The sequence below is a fragment of the Homo sapiens genome, chromosome 2 (assembly GCF_000001405.40).
Source record: "Homo sapiens chromosome 2, GRCh38.p14 Primary Assembly".
Classification (NCBI taxonomy): Eukaryota; Metazoa; Chordata; class Mammalia; order Primates; family Hominidae; genus Homo; species Homo sapiens.
The window spans coordinates 241,828,820-241,849,104 of record NC_000002.12 but is presented as its reverse complement, the minus strand read 5'-3'; the positions used below and the strand labels follow the sequence as shown (position 1 = coordinate 241,849,104).

Here is a 20,285-nt window from a genome sequence, read left to right as displayed (position 1 = left end):
TGCACATGATGTGGGTTTCCATCCGCAAAACCCGATAGGTCCCATGGAAAATGACCACAGGCAATGAGAAAGCCATAGAGTGCTGCCTGTGAGATCAGCGTCCAGAACTCACAGCTCTCAAACACCCACTCACAGCGCAGCGCGCCAGCGTCCAGAATTCACGGCTCTCATTCATCCATTGACAGCGCAGCGCGCCAGCATCCAGAACTCAAGGCTCTCAAACACCCATTCACAGCGCAGCGCGCCAGCATCCAGAACTCACGGCTCTCATTCATCCACTGACAGCGCAGCGCGCCAGCATCCAGAACTCAAGGCTCTCAAACACCCATTCACAGCACAGCGCGCCAGCATCCAGAACTCACGGCTCTCATTCATCCATTGACAGCGCAGCGCACCAGCATCCAGAACTCAAGGCTCTCATACACCCATTCACAGCGCAGCGCGCCAGCATCCAGAACTCAAGGCTTTCATTCATCCATTGACAGCGCAGCGCGCCAGCATCCAGAACTCACGTCTCTCATTCATCCACTGACAGCGCAGCGCGCCAGCATCCAGAACTCAAGGCTCTCAAACACCCATTCACAGCGCAGCGCGCCAGCATCCAGAACTCAAGGCTCTCATTCATCCATTGACAGCGCAGCGCGCCAGCGTCCAGAACTCACGTCTCTCATTCATCCACTGACAGCGCGGCGCGCCAGCATCCAGAACTCAAGGCTCTCAAACACCCATTCACAGCGCAGCGCGCCAGCATCCAGAACTCAAGGCTTTCATTCATCCATTGACAGCGCAGCGCGCCAGCATCCAGAACTCAAGGCTCTCAAACACCCATTCACAGCGCAGCGCGCCAGCATCCAGAACTCAAGGCTCTCAAACACCCATTCACAGCGCAGCGCGCCAGCATCCAGAACTCAAGGCTCTCATTCATCCATTGTCAGCGCAGCGCGCCAGCATCCAGAACTCAAGGCTCTCAAACACCCATTCACAGCGCAGCGCGCCAGCATCCAGAACTCAAGGCTCTCATACACCCATTCACAGCGCAGCGCGCCAGCATCCAGAACTCACGTCTCTCATTCATCCACTGACAGCGCAGCGCGCCAGCATCCAGAACTCAAGGCTCTCATTCATCCATTGACAGCGCAGCGCGCCAGCATCCAGAACTCAAGGCTCTCAAACACCCATTCACAGCGCAGCGCGCCAGCATCCAGAACTCACGGCTCTCATTCATCCATTGACAGCGCAGCGCGCTAGCATCCAGAACTCACGTCTCTCATTCATCCACTGACAGCGCAGCGCGCCAGCATCCAGAACTCAAGGCTCTCAAACACCCATTCACAGCGCAGCGCGCCAGCATCCAGAACTCACGGCTCTCATTCATCCATTGACAGCGCAGCGCACCAGCATCCAGAACTCAAGGCTCTCATACACCCATTCACAGCGCAGCGCGCCAGCATCCAGAACTCAAGGCTTTCATTCATCCATTGACAGCGCAGCGCGCCAGCGTCCAGAACTCACGTCTCTCATTCATCCACTGACAGCGCAGCACGCCAGCATCCAGAACTCAAGGCTCTCAAACACCCATTCACAGCGCAGCGCGCCAGCATCCAGAACTCAAGGCTCTCATTCATCCATTGACAGCGCAGCGCGCCAGCGTCCAGAACTCACGTCTCTCATTCATCCACTGACAGCGCAGCACGCCAGCATCCAGAACTCAAGGCTCTCAAACACCCATTCACAGCGCAGCGCGCCAGCATCCAGAACTCAAGGCTTTCATTCATCCATTGACAGCGCTGCGCACCAGCGTCCAGAACTCACGTCTCTCATTCATCCACTGACAGCGCGGCGCGCCAGCATCCAGAACTCAAGGCTCTCATTCATCCATTGTCAGCGCAGCGCGCCAGCATCCAGAACTCAAGGCTCTCAAACACCCATTCACAGCGCAGCGCGCCAGCATCCAGAACTCAAGGCTCTCATACACCCATTCACAGCGCAGCGCGCCAGCATCCAGAACTCACGTCTCTCATTCATCCACTGACAGCGCAGCGCGCCAGCATCCAGAACTCAAGGCTCTCATTCATCCATTGACAGCGCAGCGCGCCAGCATCCAGAACTCAAGGCTCTCAAACACCCATTCACAGCGCAGCGCGCCAGCATCCAGAACTCACGGCTCTCATTCATCCATTGACAGCGCAGGGCGCTAGCATCCAGAACTCACGTCTCTCATTCATCCACTGACAGCGCAGCGCGCCAGCATCCAGAACTCAAGGCTCTCAAACACCCATTCACAGCGCAGCGCGCCAGCATCCAGAACTCACGGCTCTCATTCATCCATTGACAGCGCAGCGCGCTAGCATCCAGAACTCAAGGCTCTCAAACACCCATTCACAGCGCAGCGCGCCAGCGTCCAAAATTCACGGCTCTCATACACCCATTCACCCCATTCACAGCACAGTGCGCTAGGAGACGGAGTGGCGGGCGATGTTTCATCTAGGACAGCAAGAGAGAAGATGCTCCCGGCATAAACCTAGCCAGAAACGTGGGAAAGCTGCCGCAGAGGCTGAACTCAATCAAAGGCACCCTGACCCCCGGGCCCCGAAGAGGCGCCACAGCTGCAAACATGCACGTTCTTCCGATACAATTTGTAAATTTAATACGATCCCAGTAAAAACCACAGTTCTGGAACTACCATGCTCATATGGAAAAATTAACAAGCAAGTAACAGCCAAAAAAACCATGAAAAGAAAGTGAAAGAGGACCAGCTTTATGAGCTCAGGGGAAACTTACTGTAATGAAAACAGGGTGGGATAAGCACCAGAAGACACAGGAACAGGCCCAGTCCCTGCGACCCAAATCAGTGAGGGGAAAAACGACTTTTTAACCAACTGCCCAGGGATAGGGATAGCCATCTGGAAAAGTATTAAGTTAGACTCATATGCACAAAATCCCAAATGCAGCAGAGAGAAAAGCATACAAAAAGAACCCTGGCCGCGCGTGGTGGCTCACGCCTGTGATCCCAGCACTTTGGGAGGTCGAGGCGGGTGGATCACAAGGTCAGGAGATTGAGACCATCCTGGCTAACACGGTGAAACCCTGTCTCTACTAAAAACACAAAAAATTAGCCGGGCATGGTGGCGGGCACCTGTGGTCCCAGCTACTCGGGAGGCTGAGGCAGGAGAATGGCGTGAACCCGGGAGGCGGAGCTTGCAGTGAGCCGAGATCATGCCACTGCACTCCAGCCTGGGCGACACAGCAAGACTCCGTCTCAAAAAAGAAAAAAAAAGGAACCCTACAAGAAACAAGAAACCGTGGGTGCATTCTTGCAGTGTGGGAGGGGAAGGCATTCCCAATGAATAAAGGACATCAGGCAACAATTAAAGAGAAGACTGATACACTGAACTCCATATATTGGAAAACAAAAAACTTTAGCTTGGCAAAAAAAATCATAAACAAACTGAGGGAAAATGTTTGCACCACCACAAAAGAGCGAATATGCCAGTCGTAGGAAGATCTAAGAGTCTGGAAAAAGCAAGGTCAAAAATACACGAGAAAGTGCAGGAGACATAACCCAACAGCTCAGAGAAAATGTGTGTGCGTGAGCCTGTGTGTGCACGTGTCTACACGTGTGTAGACATATGTGTGCATACAAATGTGTGTATGTACATACACAGGGGTATGTGTGTGGGTGTGTGTGTACAGGTGTGCGGACGTGTGTATCTACAATATATGTATATACGGCAGTGCCTGCGTGCATACCCATATCCCTTAAACAATGAAAGGTTGTTCAGGTTCTCTCAACAAAAATACAAGTTGAAACTACATCCACCAGGCTGACAGAGCTCTGACAACGGTGCGGCTGTTGGCGAGGCAGCAGGGAGCAGGCCTGAGGGGCTGGCGGGGAAGCCGAGCTGGAGACGCACCGGTGCTGTCTGGTAGGCGGTGGGCACTTGCCCTTTGCCCCCTCAACCCCCATCCTCGTCGAAACACTTCCCAGAGGTCACCGGCAAACATGTGCAGACGCAGAGCCCACGAGCTCACGGCGCTGGCTCGGCAACGGCAAAGCCGTCCAAAGCCGGCCGGGGGCTTGAGCCCGCCCCGGAGCCTCCATCAGCTGAGAGCTGGGGCCGCGGGAGCAGGGAGGAGGCTCAGGGCTCCCCACAGAGGGTCAGGTCACTCAAGACCATGAGGGGACACACGCGCAGGACAGAACAACTCGCTGTCCCCAACTTGCTGTCGTGTGAAAATGACACGGCAGCAGTCTGAGCATCAAACAATGCCAAATTAAAATTAAAAACCTAACTGAGGCTTGGCACGGTGGCACTTTGGGAGGCCGAGGCGGGAGGGTCGCTTGAGCCCAGGAGTTTGAGACCAGCCTGGGCAGCAAAGTGAGATCCTGTCTCTAAGGAAAAATTTTAAAATTAGCCAGGTGCGGTGGTCCCAGCTCCTCGGGAGGCTGAGGCGGGAGGATCCCTGGAGTCCCGGAGGTGGAGGCCGCAGTGAGCCACGATGGTGCCACTGACTCCAGCCTGGGCGACAGAGCAAGACCCTGTCAAAAAAAAAAAAAAAAAAAGCCTAATTGATTGACACACTTTGAGTACGTTAAAAAGAACATGAGCTCAGATCGATACTCACAAAAAGAGACAAGGCGGGCGGGGAGGGAGGAAGCGGTCGCTGTCCCCGGGCGTCCGCGGTGTGTTGGCGGCTGAGAGACCGCGGCGCAGTCAGCACTTCGCCTCCCGCCTTCCCGTCAGGCCGCCCCGCGCCGCCGCGCACTCACTTTTTCCGTCCCCGGCTGGCCCCGGGCCTGTGTCGCCGCCGGGCTGCGGCTGCGCTCCCGCCCCACCCACGCGCCCCAGGCGGGTCGGCCCGGCCTCGCACAGCAGCTGCGGCGGCTTCAGGAGCGCCCTGGGTGTGGCCGGGCCTCGGGGCTCCCCGGGGGACAGTGCCGGGAGGAGGCCGGGGCGCGTGGGACCCGGAGCGAGAGAGGCGCGGCCCCGCCCCGTGTCCCAGGCCCCTGAGCCCGGCCAGCTCCACCCACGCCCGCGCCCCCGCGCCCCCGCGCCCCCGCGCCCCCGACCCTGCAGCGCCGCCCCCACCCCTGCGCCCCACCCCAGCCCCGCCCACACCCACCGGCCGGGTCTGCGGAGTGCGTGGGCGTTGGACGCCTTACTCTGCACGGGGGACCGCGGGTCCTGTGGGCCTCGTGGATGGAGCCCGGGGTCCTTGGAATTGGGCGGGGTGGGGGGGAGTCCGCCCAGGGCTCCCAGCAGGAGCGAAGGTGAGCGGGGGGCCTCTGAAAGGGAACCCACCCTCGGGCTACAGGAGACCGGGCTGGCGATCTGGGTGCAGCGCCAAGGCCCTGGGGGCTGGTGGGGCCGCATGGGGGGCTGCGGTGTGAGTCCTGGTGGTCTCTACCCTCGTGCGTCAGGGCTCCAGTGTGGACAAACCTCGCTCTGAGTCTGGGTGAGGCTCCTGAGATTCTGGAGAGTTCAGGATGTGGAGGGTCCTCTGGAGGGTGACCGAGGCCGTGTGACCACACCATCGCCGTGGCCCCCTCGACTGTGGCACAATCGCTCCCCTTCTTGGGTGGATCTCCGCGTGTTCTCCCCATACCTCTGACCCCAGTCAGTCTGCCGCACCCACCAGTGGGGGCCCCTGTGTTTGTCCAGCCTTAGAAAACCTGGCCGGGGTGTGGCCGGAGGGGCACTGCCGGTGCCACTGGCCAGGGCTGTGAGAGCGCAGGATGCCTGCCCCGGGCACGGGGGCACCGTCGTCCCCAACTGCTTAGCCACAGAATCCAAGATTGGTTTGGGGTCTTCAGTTTTTATCTCAATTCAACCTGCAAAACCAAGTTATTACATACATGGAGGAGTATTCAGCCTTAAAAAGATGGAAGTCAGTGCACCCCATTCCCAGCAGCGCAATTCACAATCAGCGGCCATGTGGAAGCAGCAGCTCCGTGTCCACCGCCGGAGGAAGGAACGGACAGCACGGTGATTCCGCACAGAGGGAGTCACCTCAGGAAGGAAGGGCTCCCACACCCGCCGCAGCGTGGAGGAACCTCGAGGACGTCACACCGAGGGGCACAAGCCACAAAAGGACAAACACTGTGTGACTCCCCACACACGAGGTCCCCAGAGTGGGCCGGTTCATAGGCAGAAAAAGCAGACGGTGGGGCCCGGGGTCGGGGGAGCCAGCGGGAAGTGAGTGTTTAATGGGGACACTTTCTGTTTTGCAAGAGAAAAAGAGTTTCTGTTTCTGGGCTGGGAGGTCAGCCGCTGAACCGCTGAACCACAGTTGCTGGGCGGGGAAAGTGGGCCTCGACCACTGCCTGGCCTATGCAGGCTGCCCCGGAATCAGGGGCAGGGGCAGGAGCGCCGGGTGTGAGACCTCAGCCCATGGCAGCCTTCGGCCTCGCTGATGGACAGAAGGGGAAACTGAGGCCCAGGGAGGTGTAGCTGTAGTAGTGAGAGTTCTCTAGAGAAATAGAACCAATAGGCCGGGAGTGGTGGCTCATGCCTGTAATCCCAGCACTTTGGGAGGTCAGGACAAGCAGATCACTTGAGGTCAGGAGTTCGAGACCAGCCTGACCAACATGGAGAAACCCCATCTATACTAAAAATACAAAATTAGCCGTGGGTGGTGGCGCATGCCTGTAATCTCAGGTACTTGGGAGGTTGAGGCAGGAGAATTGCTTGAACCCAGGAGATGGAAGTTGCAGTGAGCCGAGATCGCGCCATTGCACTCCAGCCTAAACAACAAGAACAAAACTCCGTCTCAAAAAAAGAAAAAAAAAAAAAGAACCAATAGAATGTGGAGACAGAGAGAGAGAAACTTACTTGGAGAAATTGGCTCACATGACTACGGCAGGCAGGCAGGCTGGGGACGCAGGAGGAGCCGAAGTAGCCACTCAAATCCAAAGATGCCTGCAGGCAGGATTCCATCCTCCTTTCTCTCCTTTCTCTCCGGCCTTCATAGACTGGATGAGACTCCTGTGTCGCGGAGGCTGACCTGCTGATTCAAAGTCTACTGATCTCAGCGGTAATTTTATCTTCGAAAAATACCTTCACTGAAACTTCTGGACTGCTGTTTGACCAACATCAGAGTCCTGCGGCCTGGCCAAGCTGACACAGAATGAACCATTGCAGGCCGAAGGAGGCGGAGCAGGTGGCACGCAGGACCCCAGCTCTTCCAGGAAGTCTGGGCTTGTGGGGGGAATGGCCGGTGCGGCAGGGGGTCCCTCAGCCAAGGCGGGCCTGCAGCCGATCACGTTTTCACAAGTCCATTGGCCACGTGGATGCCCTCAAGATTATACTGATTGTCATCCACTTTCTTCCTTCTCTTTTCTTGGAATTTTTATAGCTACACTTTTTTAAAAATTAATAGGCTCTACTATCTAAAGCAGTTTGGGGTTTATGGAAAAGCTGAGTGGAAAGTAGACGGAGCCCCCATGTGCCCCTCGCCTCGCCCCTCACACACACTCTGCACCCCTATTGTTAGCGCCTTTGCCTTGGTGCTGGGTCCTTGCTGTGCGACGAATCTGCACTGACCTGGCCCCATCACGCAGGGTCCACAGCTCGAATTGGGGGCCAGTCTTGGCGTCTTGCGTTCCGGGAGTCCTGGCAAGTGCATGAGGTCAGGTATCCACCATGATGGTGTCAGGAGAGGCTTCCCTGCCCCGAAATTCCCCCGAGCTCCACTATTCACCCCTCCCTTCCCTGGCAACCACTGAGGATTCTTACTGTCTGGGTAGATTGCCTCTCCCGGAATGTTGTATAGTTGGAATCATACAGCATGCGGCCTTTTCAGATTAGCTTTGAGAACTAAAAATAAAATTCTAAGCTCCCAGTCAACTAAAAGGACGCCTGTTAGCCAAGGAGACCCCAGAGAAACCTTAACACCTGAGTTCCCAGCTAGGACGGGACAGGAGGACATATACAGCTCGTTAGAGCCCCTCCCTTTTGTGGTTTAGACACAAATGCCCAGAGTGAATGTTGAAATAGAGACCATAAGATTGGCAGGATTGGGCCAGGCGTGGTGGTTCACGCCTGTAATCCCAGCACTTTGGGAGGATGAGGTGGGTGGATCACTTGAGGTCAGGAGTTCAAGACCAGCCTGGCCAACGTGATGAAACCCCATCTTTACTAAAAATAAAAAAATTAGCTGGCCGTGGTGGCGGGCGCCTATAATCCCAGCTACTCGGGAGGCTGAGGCAGGAGAATCGCTTGAACCTGGGAGGCGGAGGTTTCAGTGAGCCGAGATCGCACCACTGCACTCCAGCCTGGGAGACAGAGTGAGACTCTGTCTCAAAAAAAAAAAAAAAATTGGCAGGGCTGAATACAGCAGTAAGATGCCAAATTATCAACAGGACCTGAGGCTGCACCAGGCAGGGTGAAGTCACACACGCTGCACTGACTTATGTCCTGCCTGCCATGAGGTTTTCTTTTTTTTTTTTTTTCTGAGGTGGAGTCTCACTCCGTTGCCCAGGCTGGAGTGCAGTGGGGCCATCCCGGCTCACTGCATCCTCCGCCTCCCAGATTCATGCCATTCTCCTGCCTCAGCCTCCTGAGTAGCTGGGATTACAGGCATGCACCACCACACCCGGCTAATTTTTGTATTTTTAGTAGACAGGGTTTCACCATGTTGGTCAGGCTGGTCTTGATCTGACCTCGTATTCTGCCAGCCTCGGCCTCCCAAAGTGCTGGGATTACAGGCATGAACCACCGTGCCCTGCTGAGGTTTTCTTTTTCTCTAGCAGCTAAACAAGCACCAGCCTCTAGGGAAGCCACATTCACACAGCTGCATCTCACCTGCCGCCAGACGCTGGCTCATGACTCGCTCCCCTCGGCCACCAGCCCTAATGACCACTTTGATTGGACAAGAGACTGATTTCTGTAACTTTTCTATGAAAAGGAATCTTGTGTGCTAAATTTTTGTCCTAAAGTAAAATGACTGGTTATTTAAGAAAGAGAGAGCACAGGACAAACCATTAAGTCGCAGCATGTTGTAAACAGTCTGTATAAGTTGTGATAAGGTTCATAAAAAAAACGTACACCTGTAATCCTAGCACTTTGAGAGGCCAAGGTAGGCAGATTACTTGAGCCCAGGAGTTCAAGACCAGCCTGGGCAACGTGGTGAAACTCTATCTCTACTAAATTACAAAAATTAGCCTGGTGTGGTTGTGCATGCTTTTAATCCCAGCTACTCGGGAGTCTGAGGCAGGAGAATGGCGTGAACCCGGGAGGCAGAGGCTGCAGTGAGCTGAGATGGCACCACTGCACTCCAGCCTGGGACACAGAGAAAGACCCTGTCTCAAAAAAAAATTTTTTTTTAAGTATGAAAGGAATTTTGTATATGTTTAAGCTGGCTATTACTAAAAGGAAATTGCTTATAGCAGTCTTTCTAAAGATTGAACTTTGATATTAAAAGTACACTAATTGGTCCAGGTGCAGTGGCTCACGCCTGTAATCCCAGCACTCAGGAGGCCTAGGCGGGCGGATCATAAGGTCAGGAGTTTGAGACCAACCTGGCCAACATGGTGAAACCCTGTCTATACTGAAAATACAAAAATTAGCTGAATGTGGTGGCGGGAACCTGTAATCCCAGCTACTCGGGAGGCTGAGGCAGAAGAATCGTTTGAACCCGGGAGGCAGAGGTTGCAGTGAGTTGAGATGGTGCCATTGTACTCCAGCCTGGGCAACAGGCTGAGACTCCATCTCAAAAAAAAAAAAAAGTACACTAATTAATATAAAACCAAAAGTTTTCGGTTAGAGAAAAGTTTTGTTAAAATAATAATTTGCTATTAATAAAATTTGATGTTTAGGTGGGCGCGGTGGCTCACACCTGTAATCTCAACATTTTGCGAGGCCGAGGCAAGTGGGTCACCTGAAGTCAGAAGTTCGAGACCAGCCCGACCAACATGGTGAAACCCTGTCTCTACTAAAAATACAAAAATTAGCCAGGCGTGGTGGTGGACACCTGTGATCCCAGCTGCTCAGGAGGCTGAGGCAGGAGAATCGCTTGAACCTGGGAGGCGGAGGTTGCAATGAGCCGAGATTGTGCCACTGCACTCCAGCCTGGTAACAAAGCAAGACTCCATCTCAAAAAAAAAAAAAATTGATGTTTAATTCTGTGTTGATCCTTGCCTTCTGTTCTTGTGCCCTTGCCAAGGTGTATCTTTTTGCTTGGTTGGGATGATAACCTTCCCTTTCAGCCTTTTTTTTCATCAGCTCCTGTAACTTTCTTTTCCAATTGTAACTACTGCTGTGGCCTGATGCTGAAATGTTGATCTTAAAGGTCTAGAAAAGCAATGTTTTCCTTCATATAACTTGATTCTGTACTCTTGGCTTTTCTTGTTATACATTGTTCAGTATAGCCAGGAAACTTCTCATGCTGTTACTAAGAGTCATGCATTGCCCTGCTCAAGGTGCTGGTTTTCTTGTTTCCTTTCCTCCATAACATCAGGTACACTCATGACCCTAGACACACTCTTCCTGCACCTGACTAAATTCAAATATCCTTTTTCATCAGGTTTGACTTGCAGGTTAGCTCAATGGGCTTCCAGAGGAGAAACAATGACTGCAGAAGGTGTTTCTTTGCCTTTTGAGTAACTGGCCTCAAAAAACGAAGATTTTGCATTTTATCAAGATAATTTCCAGTGTCATTTTTATTTGGTTTTTTGATTGCTTATGAAAACTGAGCTTGTTTTTACATCCATGTAACTTTCTGCCTTGCCATTGAAGATGGCAATGGTTACATGAGTAACTATTATTTTACAATGACCTAGGATTCTATTTTGATCAAATGTTTTGAGCCTTTTAACATCTTTCACAAAAGTCCTCAAAATCAAATCCTACATTAAGCATCTCACTTAGACTTATTGCAGGCAGGATCATCAAAGCTATAAAAATGAATCATTACGAGATTATACATATTTTTTTGAGACAGAGTCTCACTCTGTTGCCCAGGCTGGAGTGCAGTGGCACAGTCATAGCTCACCGCAGCCTCGAACTCCTGGGTTCAAGTGAACCCAAAGTGCTGGGATTATAGGAGTGAGCCTCCACACCTGGCCTGTAAAATCTTTTTGCAGCTTCCAGTTGTGTCATGAACTCCAAAATCACCACCTCCAGCCTGCTGATTACATACACTGGAAGAAACATCAGTTACAGGACTCTTTCCCCTGCACTTTGGAAGGGTCCTTAAAAGGTACTATTAACAAATCCATGTGCTACCAAGTTACAGGGAGTTGACTCCTGGGCACACATAGAGTATGAGTCTGTTTTCACACTGCTATAGAGAACTGCCCGAGACTGGGTAATTTATAAACAAAAGAGGTGACAGCCAGAGGAAGATGCAAAGGAAAGGCATCCCAGGCAGGGAGCATTGCAGCTACAAATGCCCCGAGAGCCTGTATGAGTTTGATTTCACACGCTGTAAAGACACTACCTGAGACGGGGTAATTTATCAACAAAAGAGGGTTCATTAACTCACAGTTCCCCATGGCTGGGGAAGCCTCAGGAAACTTAGAATCATGGTGGAAGGTGAAGGGGAAGCAAGGTACGTCTTAATTTAATTTTGCGTTCATCCTGTTCATCATGGCAGGGGAGAGAGAAAGAGCAAAGGGGGAAGAGCCCCTTATCGAACCATCAGATCTCGAGAGAATTCACTCAGTATCACGAGAACAGCGTGGGGGAAACAAGCTCCCATGACCCAATCAGCTCCCACCAGGTCCCTCCCTCAACACATGGGGATTACAATTCGAGATGAGATTTGGGTGGGGACACACAGCCAAACCGTATCACATCACCTAAAAAAGGCACCAACTCCTGCTGAATCTTGAACATTCCACACTGGTATCTGAAACCAAACTCAAGCTAACCAAAGCCTTGTCTTCAGATCCGGGGGAAGACAACCATCGAAGTGAACGGCTTTCATGAGACACAGGGCTGGGTTTATACTCCAAGACGTTAAGACATTTCATAGTTTTCCCTCTATCTGAATTAATATAATTTGCTCTATGTCTTAGTACTATATACTTTAGATGTTTAGCTACCTGTGAGCTTCCTTTTCCTGTTCTTATCAGAACTGAACAGCGCTTATTGCCTTTGTATTTAAAGTGTTACTGATTCTTTGTTTTGTTTTCCAAAGTCAAGAAAACCTTTTTTCTTTTAACCTATTTATAGGTGACAGAAACTGAGTAAAATAACAAAGTTCAGCTTTCTCTCTCTACCTTCTACCTCCAGAATTCAAAAACTATTCATGAGCATTCTTACTTACAGCAATATGGTGGTTTGCATAAGTTCAATAAGAATACATTTTCTTTTGTAACAGGACACTTTGGGGATATTATTTTAACAAGACCTTTGACTGAAATAACACTTTCCGATAAAGTTCCAGCAAAGCCAATTTAAAAAGAGCCTACACGGCCAGCTGCTATTCCTGCTGCAATTTACACAAATGATCAAGCCAAATAGAATAAGACTAAAACTTATTTTGTACACAAATTGGTCTTATTATTATTTCTCTGTGGTAGAAAGGGGGAACTAAAGAGATGAAAAAAATTACGTTTCAAAAGAAAACACTTGTTCTGCAATTCCAGCCCCGACCACTGTTCTTGAGTTTTATTTTTTGCCTATAATTCAAACTGAGTCTTGAATTATCTCTTGGCTACACATCTCTAAAGAGGATCCAGGTTGTAATTTTCTTCATGATCGTTTTAGTTGGCTCCCTAATGGGGTTGATTCCTTTCTTCCTGTTAGGGGCGCATAAATTCTTGTTGAGAGGCAAAGCCAGCTGGACTTCCTGGGTGGCGTGGGGACTTGCAGAAATTTTCTGTCTTACAAGAGGATTGTAAAACGCACCAATCAGAGCTCTGTAGCTAGGATTGTAAAACGCACCAGTCAGAGCTCTGTAGCTAGCAAGGGGATCGTAAAACACATCAATCAGCGCTCTGTAAAAATGCACCAATCAGCGCTCTGTAGCTAGCAAGAGGATTGTAAAATGCACCAATCAGCGCTCTGTAAAATACACCAATCTGCACTCTGTAAAATGCACCAATCAGCAGGATCCTAAAAGTAGCCAATCACAGGGAGGATTGAAAAAAGGGCACTCTGATGGGACAAAAATGGAACATGGGAGGGGACAAATAGGGAATAAAAGCTGGCCACCCCAGCCAGCAGCAACAACCTGCTCAGGTCCCCTTCCATGGTGTGGAAGCTTTGTTCTCTTGCTCTTCACAATAAACCTTGCTACTGCTCACCCTTTGGATGTGTGCCATCTTTGAGAGCTGTAACACTCACTGCAAAAGTCCGTGGCTTCATTCTTGAAGTCAGCGAGACCACGAAACCACCAAAGGAACCAACTCCAGACACATTATGCCTGTACGTTATAATTCTACCACTCAAATTATTAATGCCATTTATCTCTCAAATCTCTCTCATTCAAAGTCTCCTGGAGCTGTTGCTGAAGCTATACCATATCAAGCACCCTCTGTCTAGGCCCAGGGACTGCTGAGGAAGAGAAGGGGGCGTGAGATGGTAAGGGCTGGCTTCAAAGGATAAAACTAGTTCAGGCTGGGTGCGGTGGCTCATGCCTGTAATCCCACCACTTTGGGAGGCCAAGGCAGGCGGATCATCCAAGGTCAGGAGTTCGAGACCAGCCTGGCCGACATGGTGAAACCCGTCTCTACTAAAAATACAAAAACTAGCTTCACATGGTGGCACGCGCTTGTAATCCCAGCTACTCTGGAGGCTGACGCAGGAGAATGGCTTGAACCCGGGAGGCAGAGGTTGCAGTGAGCCGAGATCATGCCACTGCACTCCAGCCTGGGTGACAGAGTGAGACTCCATCTCAAAAAAAAAAAAAAAAAAAAAAAAAAAAAAAAAAAAAACTAGCTCAGACCCTCCAAATCAAGGACAGTGCATAGATGCCTGCACTGCTGACAAATCAAGGGACTGTGCCTCCTGGGCCATTAGGTGGTTCCCTCTCCATCCCTCCAACTCTAACCCTCTAAAGAATTTCCTGCTTCCCATAGACTTAATTACCAAGAGGATGTAATGACACCTAGTGACACAGCCTCCAGAATACAGCTGTTCCCAGTTATGGGATTTATACAAATAGAGATACAATTAAAACGGTATTGGCCGCCTTAGGACAAATTACTAAAAAGACCACAAAAAGCACAGCAGCATATCAAAGTCTCTAAATTCCTTAGCTGAAATGGTTTTAACAAAATGCTTACGTTTCGTGTAGCTAATTGCTACAAGTCAGAGACTGAGACCAAAATTATGATAGCTCAACACTTGGAACTTATAGATAAGCCAGTTTTGTCACTTCGCCTTTTGGCTTTTGGTTTTCAGCTCTTATATTACCTCCAATTCCGCCTGGCCCAGAACGTTGAGTTGGCTGTAAGTCTTTTAGCTGTAAGCCCCTTGGCAATCAGGGTTCCACTGAAGGGCTGGAGGGACCAGGGCAGGTAGCCCCACCTCCCCCAGCAACAAGGTGGGCCAAGATAAAGGTTTGGCCGTGGATGCTGCCTATGGCAAATCTCAGCCAAAAGCGGGAAATGGAGACGAAAAATAAAATTCTAAGCCACCCAACTGACTGAACCGACGGGCTCCTCACCCCTTGGTCAAGGGGACCCCAGAGAAACCTGAAAAATGGAGTTCTCAGCCCTGAGGGGACAGGAGATCAGATGCGTCCCATGACACCCCTCCCCTGTGTGGTTAGACGCAGCAACTGCCCAGCATGAGTGTTGAGATAGAGAACATCGCCTGGCAGAACCGACTGTGGCCATAAGACGCCACATTATCAACGGGACCTGAGGCCACCCCAGGCAGGGGCGAAGTCACACACGCTGCACTTATTTATGTTCTACCTGCCACGGGAGTTTTCTTTTTCTCTGACACCCAAACGCTGGCCTTGAGACGAACAACGTTAAAGCAGGTGCAGCTCACCCCCTGCCAGACACTGCCTCGCTGACCCCTGCTCCCCCAGCCAGAACCACAGCTGCCATCGGACAACAGCCGCATTTCAGTAACTGTCCCCTGAGCAGGGACCCCCAGCCCCGGACTGGTTCTGGTTTACAGAGGCTGCGCACCGAGTGCTTCCCGTCCCGGCTCCACCTTCTGACGTGCAGGGCCTGATTGTAACGCAGTTAGATGTGCAGTCTCCACCCCAAGGTGAACGTGGGTGGTATATAACATGCCCGTTTATTGTATGCAGTGTAGGACTCTCTCATAACTATTCATAAGATGTTTCTATAACCTGCTGAATATGCATATGTGTCCGGCTCATTCAGCATAAATTCCGTTCCACCCTCCCCTCTTTCAAAGTGCTTACTTTTGGTTTTCAGCTGGAGCTTCGGCTTCCACCTGTAGGTTGTCATCTCCTTCTTAAGAAATAAAACTCTAAATTTATAAAGTGCGATTTTTAAGTCCACAGCTCCTCTCACTTACTAATATGAGTTAAGTTTCCTCCGTGCTTTTGAAGGGCTCGATGGCTCATTTCATTTAGTGCTGAGTCATCTTCCATTGTCTGGATGGACCACGGGCTATTTATCCACTCACTTACGAAAGGACATCTTGGTTCCCTCCACGTTTTGGCCATTATGAATAAAGCTGCTATAAATTCATCCTACGCAAGCTTTTATGGGTACATAAGTCTCCAACTCCTTTGGATAAATACCAAGAGACACAATTTCTAGATCGTATGATAAAAGTATGTTTAGTTTTGTAAGAAACTGCCAAATTTTTTTCCAAAGTACCATTTTCCCACCAGCAATAAATGAATGAAACGTCCACGTCTCCACCAGCGCTTGGTGTTGTCAGTGTTTTGGATTTGGGCCATTCCAGTCGGTATGCAGTAGTGTTATTTAATTTGCATTTCCCTGATGACATACGGTGTTGAGCATCCTTTTTTTTAAGACACAGGGTCTGGCTGTTGCCCAGGCTGGAATGCAGTGGTGCAATCACGGCTCACTGCAGCCTTGAACTCCTTGTTTCACACAATCCTCCTGCCTCAACCTCCCAAGTAGCTGGGACTATAGCTGTGCACCACCACACCCAGATAATTTATTTATTTTATTTTTTTTTTTAGGGATAGGGTGTCTCACCATGTTGCCCAGGCTGCTCTCCAACTCCTGGCCTCTGTGATCCCCCTGCCTCCGCCTGCAAAGTATTTTTTCACATGCTTATTTGCCATCCATATATCTTCTTTGATAAGGTGTCCTTTCAGATCTTTGGCCTGTTTTTTAAACAGATTTTTTTTTATTGCTGAGTTTTAAAAGTACCTTGACTATTTTGAACACTGGTCCTGGTCCTTTATCAGGCACGAGTTCAGTGAAGATTTTCTCTCAGTCTGTGGCTTATCTTTTCTCTGTCTTAACAGTGTTATATCACCTTTTCTTATCAATTTTTTTTCGTGGGCCAAGCTTTGGTGGTTGTATTAGTTACACTTTTGTACTTTATTTTTCGTAGCATACTGAATGTTTCTAAGCTCCTTGATGGCCTCTCCCTCCAAGGGAGGAACACGCACGTCCTGGTGGCGTAGGAGAGAGGAGGGGGTCGTGTCACCCACGGCAGCCCCTCACAGTGCCGGGGCTCAGAGCCCTGCTCTCTGCAGGAAGACATCTACGTGTGATTTTTGCCCTTAAGTGTTTGACAGAGTTTACTGGGAAAGCCATGTAGACCTGGAGTCTTCTTAGTGTGCAGATTTTAAATGATGGATTCAATTTCTTTAATAAGATTTTTTTCAGATTTTCTATGTAATCTTATATTTATTTTAATAAATTGTATTTTCCAAGAATTATCCATTTCATCTCAATTGGCAAGTTTATTGGCATTAAAATGATCATAACATCTTTTTTGTTTGTTTGTTTTTAATTTTTATTTTACTTTAAGTTCCGGATACATATGCAGGTTTGTTCCATGGGTATACATGTGCCATGGTGGTTTGCTGCACCTATCAACCTGTCACCTAGGTTCTAAGCACCGCATGCATTAGCTATTTGTCCCGATGCTCTCCCTCCCCTCACTGCCTCCCCTCCCGCCCACAGGCCCCGGTGTGTGATGTTCCCCTCCCTGTGTCCATGTGTTCTCATTGGATCATAACACAATTTTGAAATCTCTGACTGCCCGCAGGATCTCCAGCGCATCCTTTGTCATTCCTGGTACCAGTTATTCATGTTTTCTTTCTTTTTCTCATGAGCAGCCTCATCAAGGGCTTATCAACTTTATTAGTCTTTTCAAACACTAAACCTTGGCTTTTTCAATTCGCTCTACGGTATCATTTTTCCATCATTTTGTCCTCATCTTCACTATTCTCTTCCTTCTTTCTTTGGATTTAATTCGCTGTTCTTTATGCAGCTCCTTGAGATCAATGATGGTCAGTCATTCTTCTTTTCTGATATATGCATTTAGAGGCTATGTATTTCCCTCTAAGCCTGGCTTTGGCTTTATCCCACAAGCTTTATGTAGTATCTCCATAACTAATTGCAAAACATTGTCTAATTTCCACTGTGGCTTCTTCTTTGAACCATGAATTATCTAGAATTGTGTTTCTTAATTTCTGAGGACATAGTGATGTTTAATTCTCCTTTTTATTTCTTGCTCAATTGCACTGTAATTTTCAATCCTTTGAAATTTGTGGAGAATGGATTTTGTGGCCCAACATAATGTCAGTGTTCACATCTGAGTGTATTTGAGACGAGTGGATGTGCTGTAGCCGTTTTGTGCAGGATTCTACACTTGTGAGTTAAGTCAGGTTCATTCATCACGTTGGCCACATCTTCTGTCCTCAGTGATGTTTTTTGTCTGCTTGCTCTGTCGGTTATTGAGAGACTCATGCGGAAAACTTTCTGCTGCAATTGATAACATGCATATTTTCCCTATAAGTTTGTCCACTTTGAGGCATATTAGGTACATACAAAAGTAAAACTGTTAAAACTTTCTGGCGAATCAAAATTTTTATCATTTTGAAATGTCACCTGCATCACTAGCAGAACTTTAGCTGTAAGGTCTCTGCCTAACATAAAGAGAGCTTATGTGGATATTCTCGTGGTCTAGTTTCCCCTCTTCACTGTCAATCTTTCTGAATCTCGATATCTTCTCTAAATCTACTGTCAATGGAGTTTAGTTGCGTTTTGGAAGGCTTTTTCTTTGTTTGTTTGTTTTTTGGTTTTTGCCTGCATGGCCATTTTGTTCTTTTAATTGGAATATTAGTCGATTTATGTTTAATGTAATTTGGATATGTTTGGGTTTGAATTGGATGCCATAATATTGCTTTCTATTTTGGCCTTGCCTGTTCTATGTATATTTATTCTCATTCCTTGTCTTTTTTTAAATGATTTATTGTTTTGTTTTACTTAAAACATCTGTAAACCAACATTTATCTTTATATAAACTGTTTCAAATTCTCTTCCACTGGACAGTATGAAGATTTCTCAAAGAGCTTAAAGCAGATCACCATTTGATCCAGCAATCCAGATCTACCCAAAGGAAAAGAAGTCATTGTATCAAAAAGACACCTGCATGTGCATGATTATCACAGCACAATTCACAATTGCAGAGATATGGAACCAATCTGTGTGCCTATCAGCTGACAAGCAGATAAAGAAAATGTGGTAGATATACACAGGAAACGCTACTCATCCATAAAAAAGAATGAAATAATATCTTTCACTGCAACTTCGATGGAGCTGGAAGCCATCATTCTAAGTGAAGTAGCTTCTCACTTATAAGTAGGAGCTAAGCTGTGGGTATGCAAAGGCCTGTAGAATGTTATAATGGTCACTGGAGACTCAGAAGTGTGGAGACTGGGAGGGCAGTGAGGGATGAAAAACTAGCTATTGGATACAGTGTACACTACTTGAGTGTGGGGCGCACTAAAATCTCAGACTTCACCGCTATACAATTCATCTATATAACCAAAATCTACCTGTACCCTAAAGCAAGTGAAATAAAAAATAAAAAAGTAAAATAAAAATATCCAAATTCCTTTCCGTTGATTTTTGGGAGCCTAATTATTTCTTCATAGTAGGAAGAAATGATTTGCTAACTGCAAATTTCACAATTAGCAGTGCTAAGTTAAAAATTTTTGTTTAAGGAAAGTAAATCTGATATGAGGTTGTACTTCTGATTCTTCACAAAATTCTTTTAATAATTCTGATGTATATAGTAGCTTATATTTTGAAGACATTTACATTGTGTCAGGTAATTTTTTTATTATACTTTAAGTTCTAGGGTACGTGTGCACAACGTGCATGTTTGTTACATATGTATACATGTGCCATGTTGGTGTGCTGCACCCATTAACTCGTCATTTACATTAGGTATTTCTCCTAATGTTATCCCTCCCCCCTCCCCCCACCCCACGACAGGTCCCAGTGTGTGATGTTCCCCACCCTGTGTCCAAGTGTTCTCATTGTTCAATTCCCACCTATGAGTGAGAACATGCGGTGTTTGGTTTTCTATCCTTGCAATAGTTTGCTCAGAATGATGGTTTCCAGCTTCATCCATGTCCCTACAAAGGATATGAACTCATCCATTTTTATGGCTGCATAGTATTCCATGCTGTATATGTGCCACATTTTCTTAATCCAATCTATCAGTGATGGACATTTGGGTTGGTTCCAAGTCTTTGCCATTGTGAATAGTGACGCAATAAGCATACGTGTGCATGTGTCTTTATAGCAGCATGATTTATAATCCTTTGGGTATATACCCAGTAATGGGATCACTGGGTCAAATGGTATTTCTAGTTCTAGATCCCTGAGGAATCACCACACTGTCTTCCACAATTGTTGAACTAGTTTACAGTCCCACCAACAGTGTAAAAGCGTTCCTATTTCTCCACATCCTCTCCAGCACCTGTCATTTCCTGACTTTTAAATGATCGCCATTCTAACTGGTGTGAGATGGTATCTCATTGTGGTTTTGATTTGCATTTCTCTGATGGCCAGTGATGATGAGCATTTTTTCATGTGTTTGTTGGATGCATAAATGTCTTCTTTTGAGAAGTGTCTGTTCATATCCTTTGCTCACTTTTTGATGGGGTTGTTTGATTTTTTCTTGTAAATTTGTTTAAGTTCTTTGTGGATTCTGGATATTAGCCCTTTGTCAGATGGGTAGATCGCAAAAATTTTCTCCCATTCTGTAGGTTGCCTGTTCACTCTGATGGTAGTTTCTTTTTATTATTATTATTATTATTATACTTTAAGTTTTAGGGTACATGTGCACAATGTGCAGGTTAGTTACATATGTATACATGTGCCATGCTGGTGTGCTGCACCCATT

At 48.3% G+C, this 20,285-nt stretch overlaps 1 long non-coding RNA gene across 1 annotated transcript, besides 4 other annotated features; it reads right to left on the bottom strand.

Annotated features, from left to right (window-relative positions):
* LOC124905350 (uncharacterized) lies at window positions 2,625–4,938 on the bottom strand. Its single transcript, XR_007088410.1, has 2 exons — window positions 4,627–4,938; window positions 2,625–4,540 (listed from the first exon to the last, which is right to left on the bottom strand). It is a non-coding gene; the product is annotated as an uncharacterized LOC124905350 (long non-coding RNA).
* Window positions 5,719–6,416: an enhancer, noted in NCBI's record as "H3K27ac-H3K4me1 hESC enhancer chr2:242784841-242785538 (GRCh37/hg19 assembly coordinates)". NCBI's record gives its function as "activates a minimal SCP1, AML or CMV promoter by ChIP-STARR-seq in naive H9 embryonic stem cells {active_cell/tissue: H9 hESC(naive)}" and the evidence as "EXISTENCE:reporter gene assay evidence [ECO:0000049][PMID:30033119]".
* Window positions 5,794–6,088: a silencer, noted in NCBI's record as "tiled region #12914; K562 Repressive DNase matched - State 8:EnhW". NCBI's record gives its function as "represses a minimal TATA promoter and a strong SV40 promoter by Sharpr-MPRA in K562 cells {active_cell/tissue: K562}" and the evidence as "EXISTENCE:reporter gene assay evidence [ECO:0000049][PMID:27701403]".
* Window positions 7,020–7,179: a silencer, noted in NCBI's record as "fragment chr2:242784078-242784237 (GRCh37/hg19 assembly coordinates)". NCBI's record gives its function as "represses an EF-1alpha promoter that drives an FKBP-Casp9 reporter gene in an ReSE screen in K562 erythroleukemia cells {active_cell/tissue: K562}" and the evidence as "EXISTENCE:reporter gene assay evidence [ECO:0000049][PMID:32094911]".
* Window positions 14,393–14,893: an enhancer, noted in NCBI's record as "H3K4me1 hESC enhancer chr2:242776389-242776889 (GRCh37/hg19 assembly coordinates)". NCBI's record gives its function as "activates a minimal SCP1, AML or CMV promoter by ChIP-STARR-seq in naive H9 embryonic stem cells {active_cell/tissue: H9 hESC(naive)}" and the evidence as "EXISTENCE:reporter gene assay evidence [ECO:0000049][PMID:30033119]".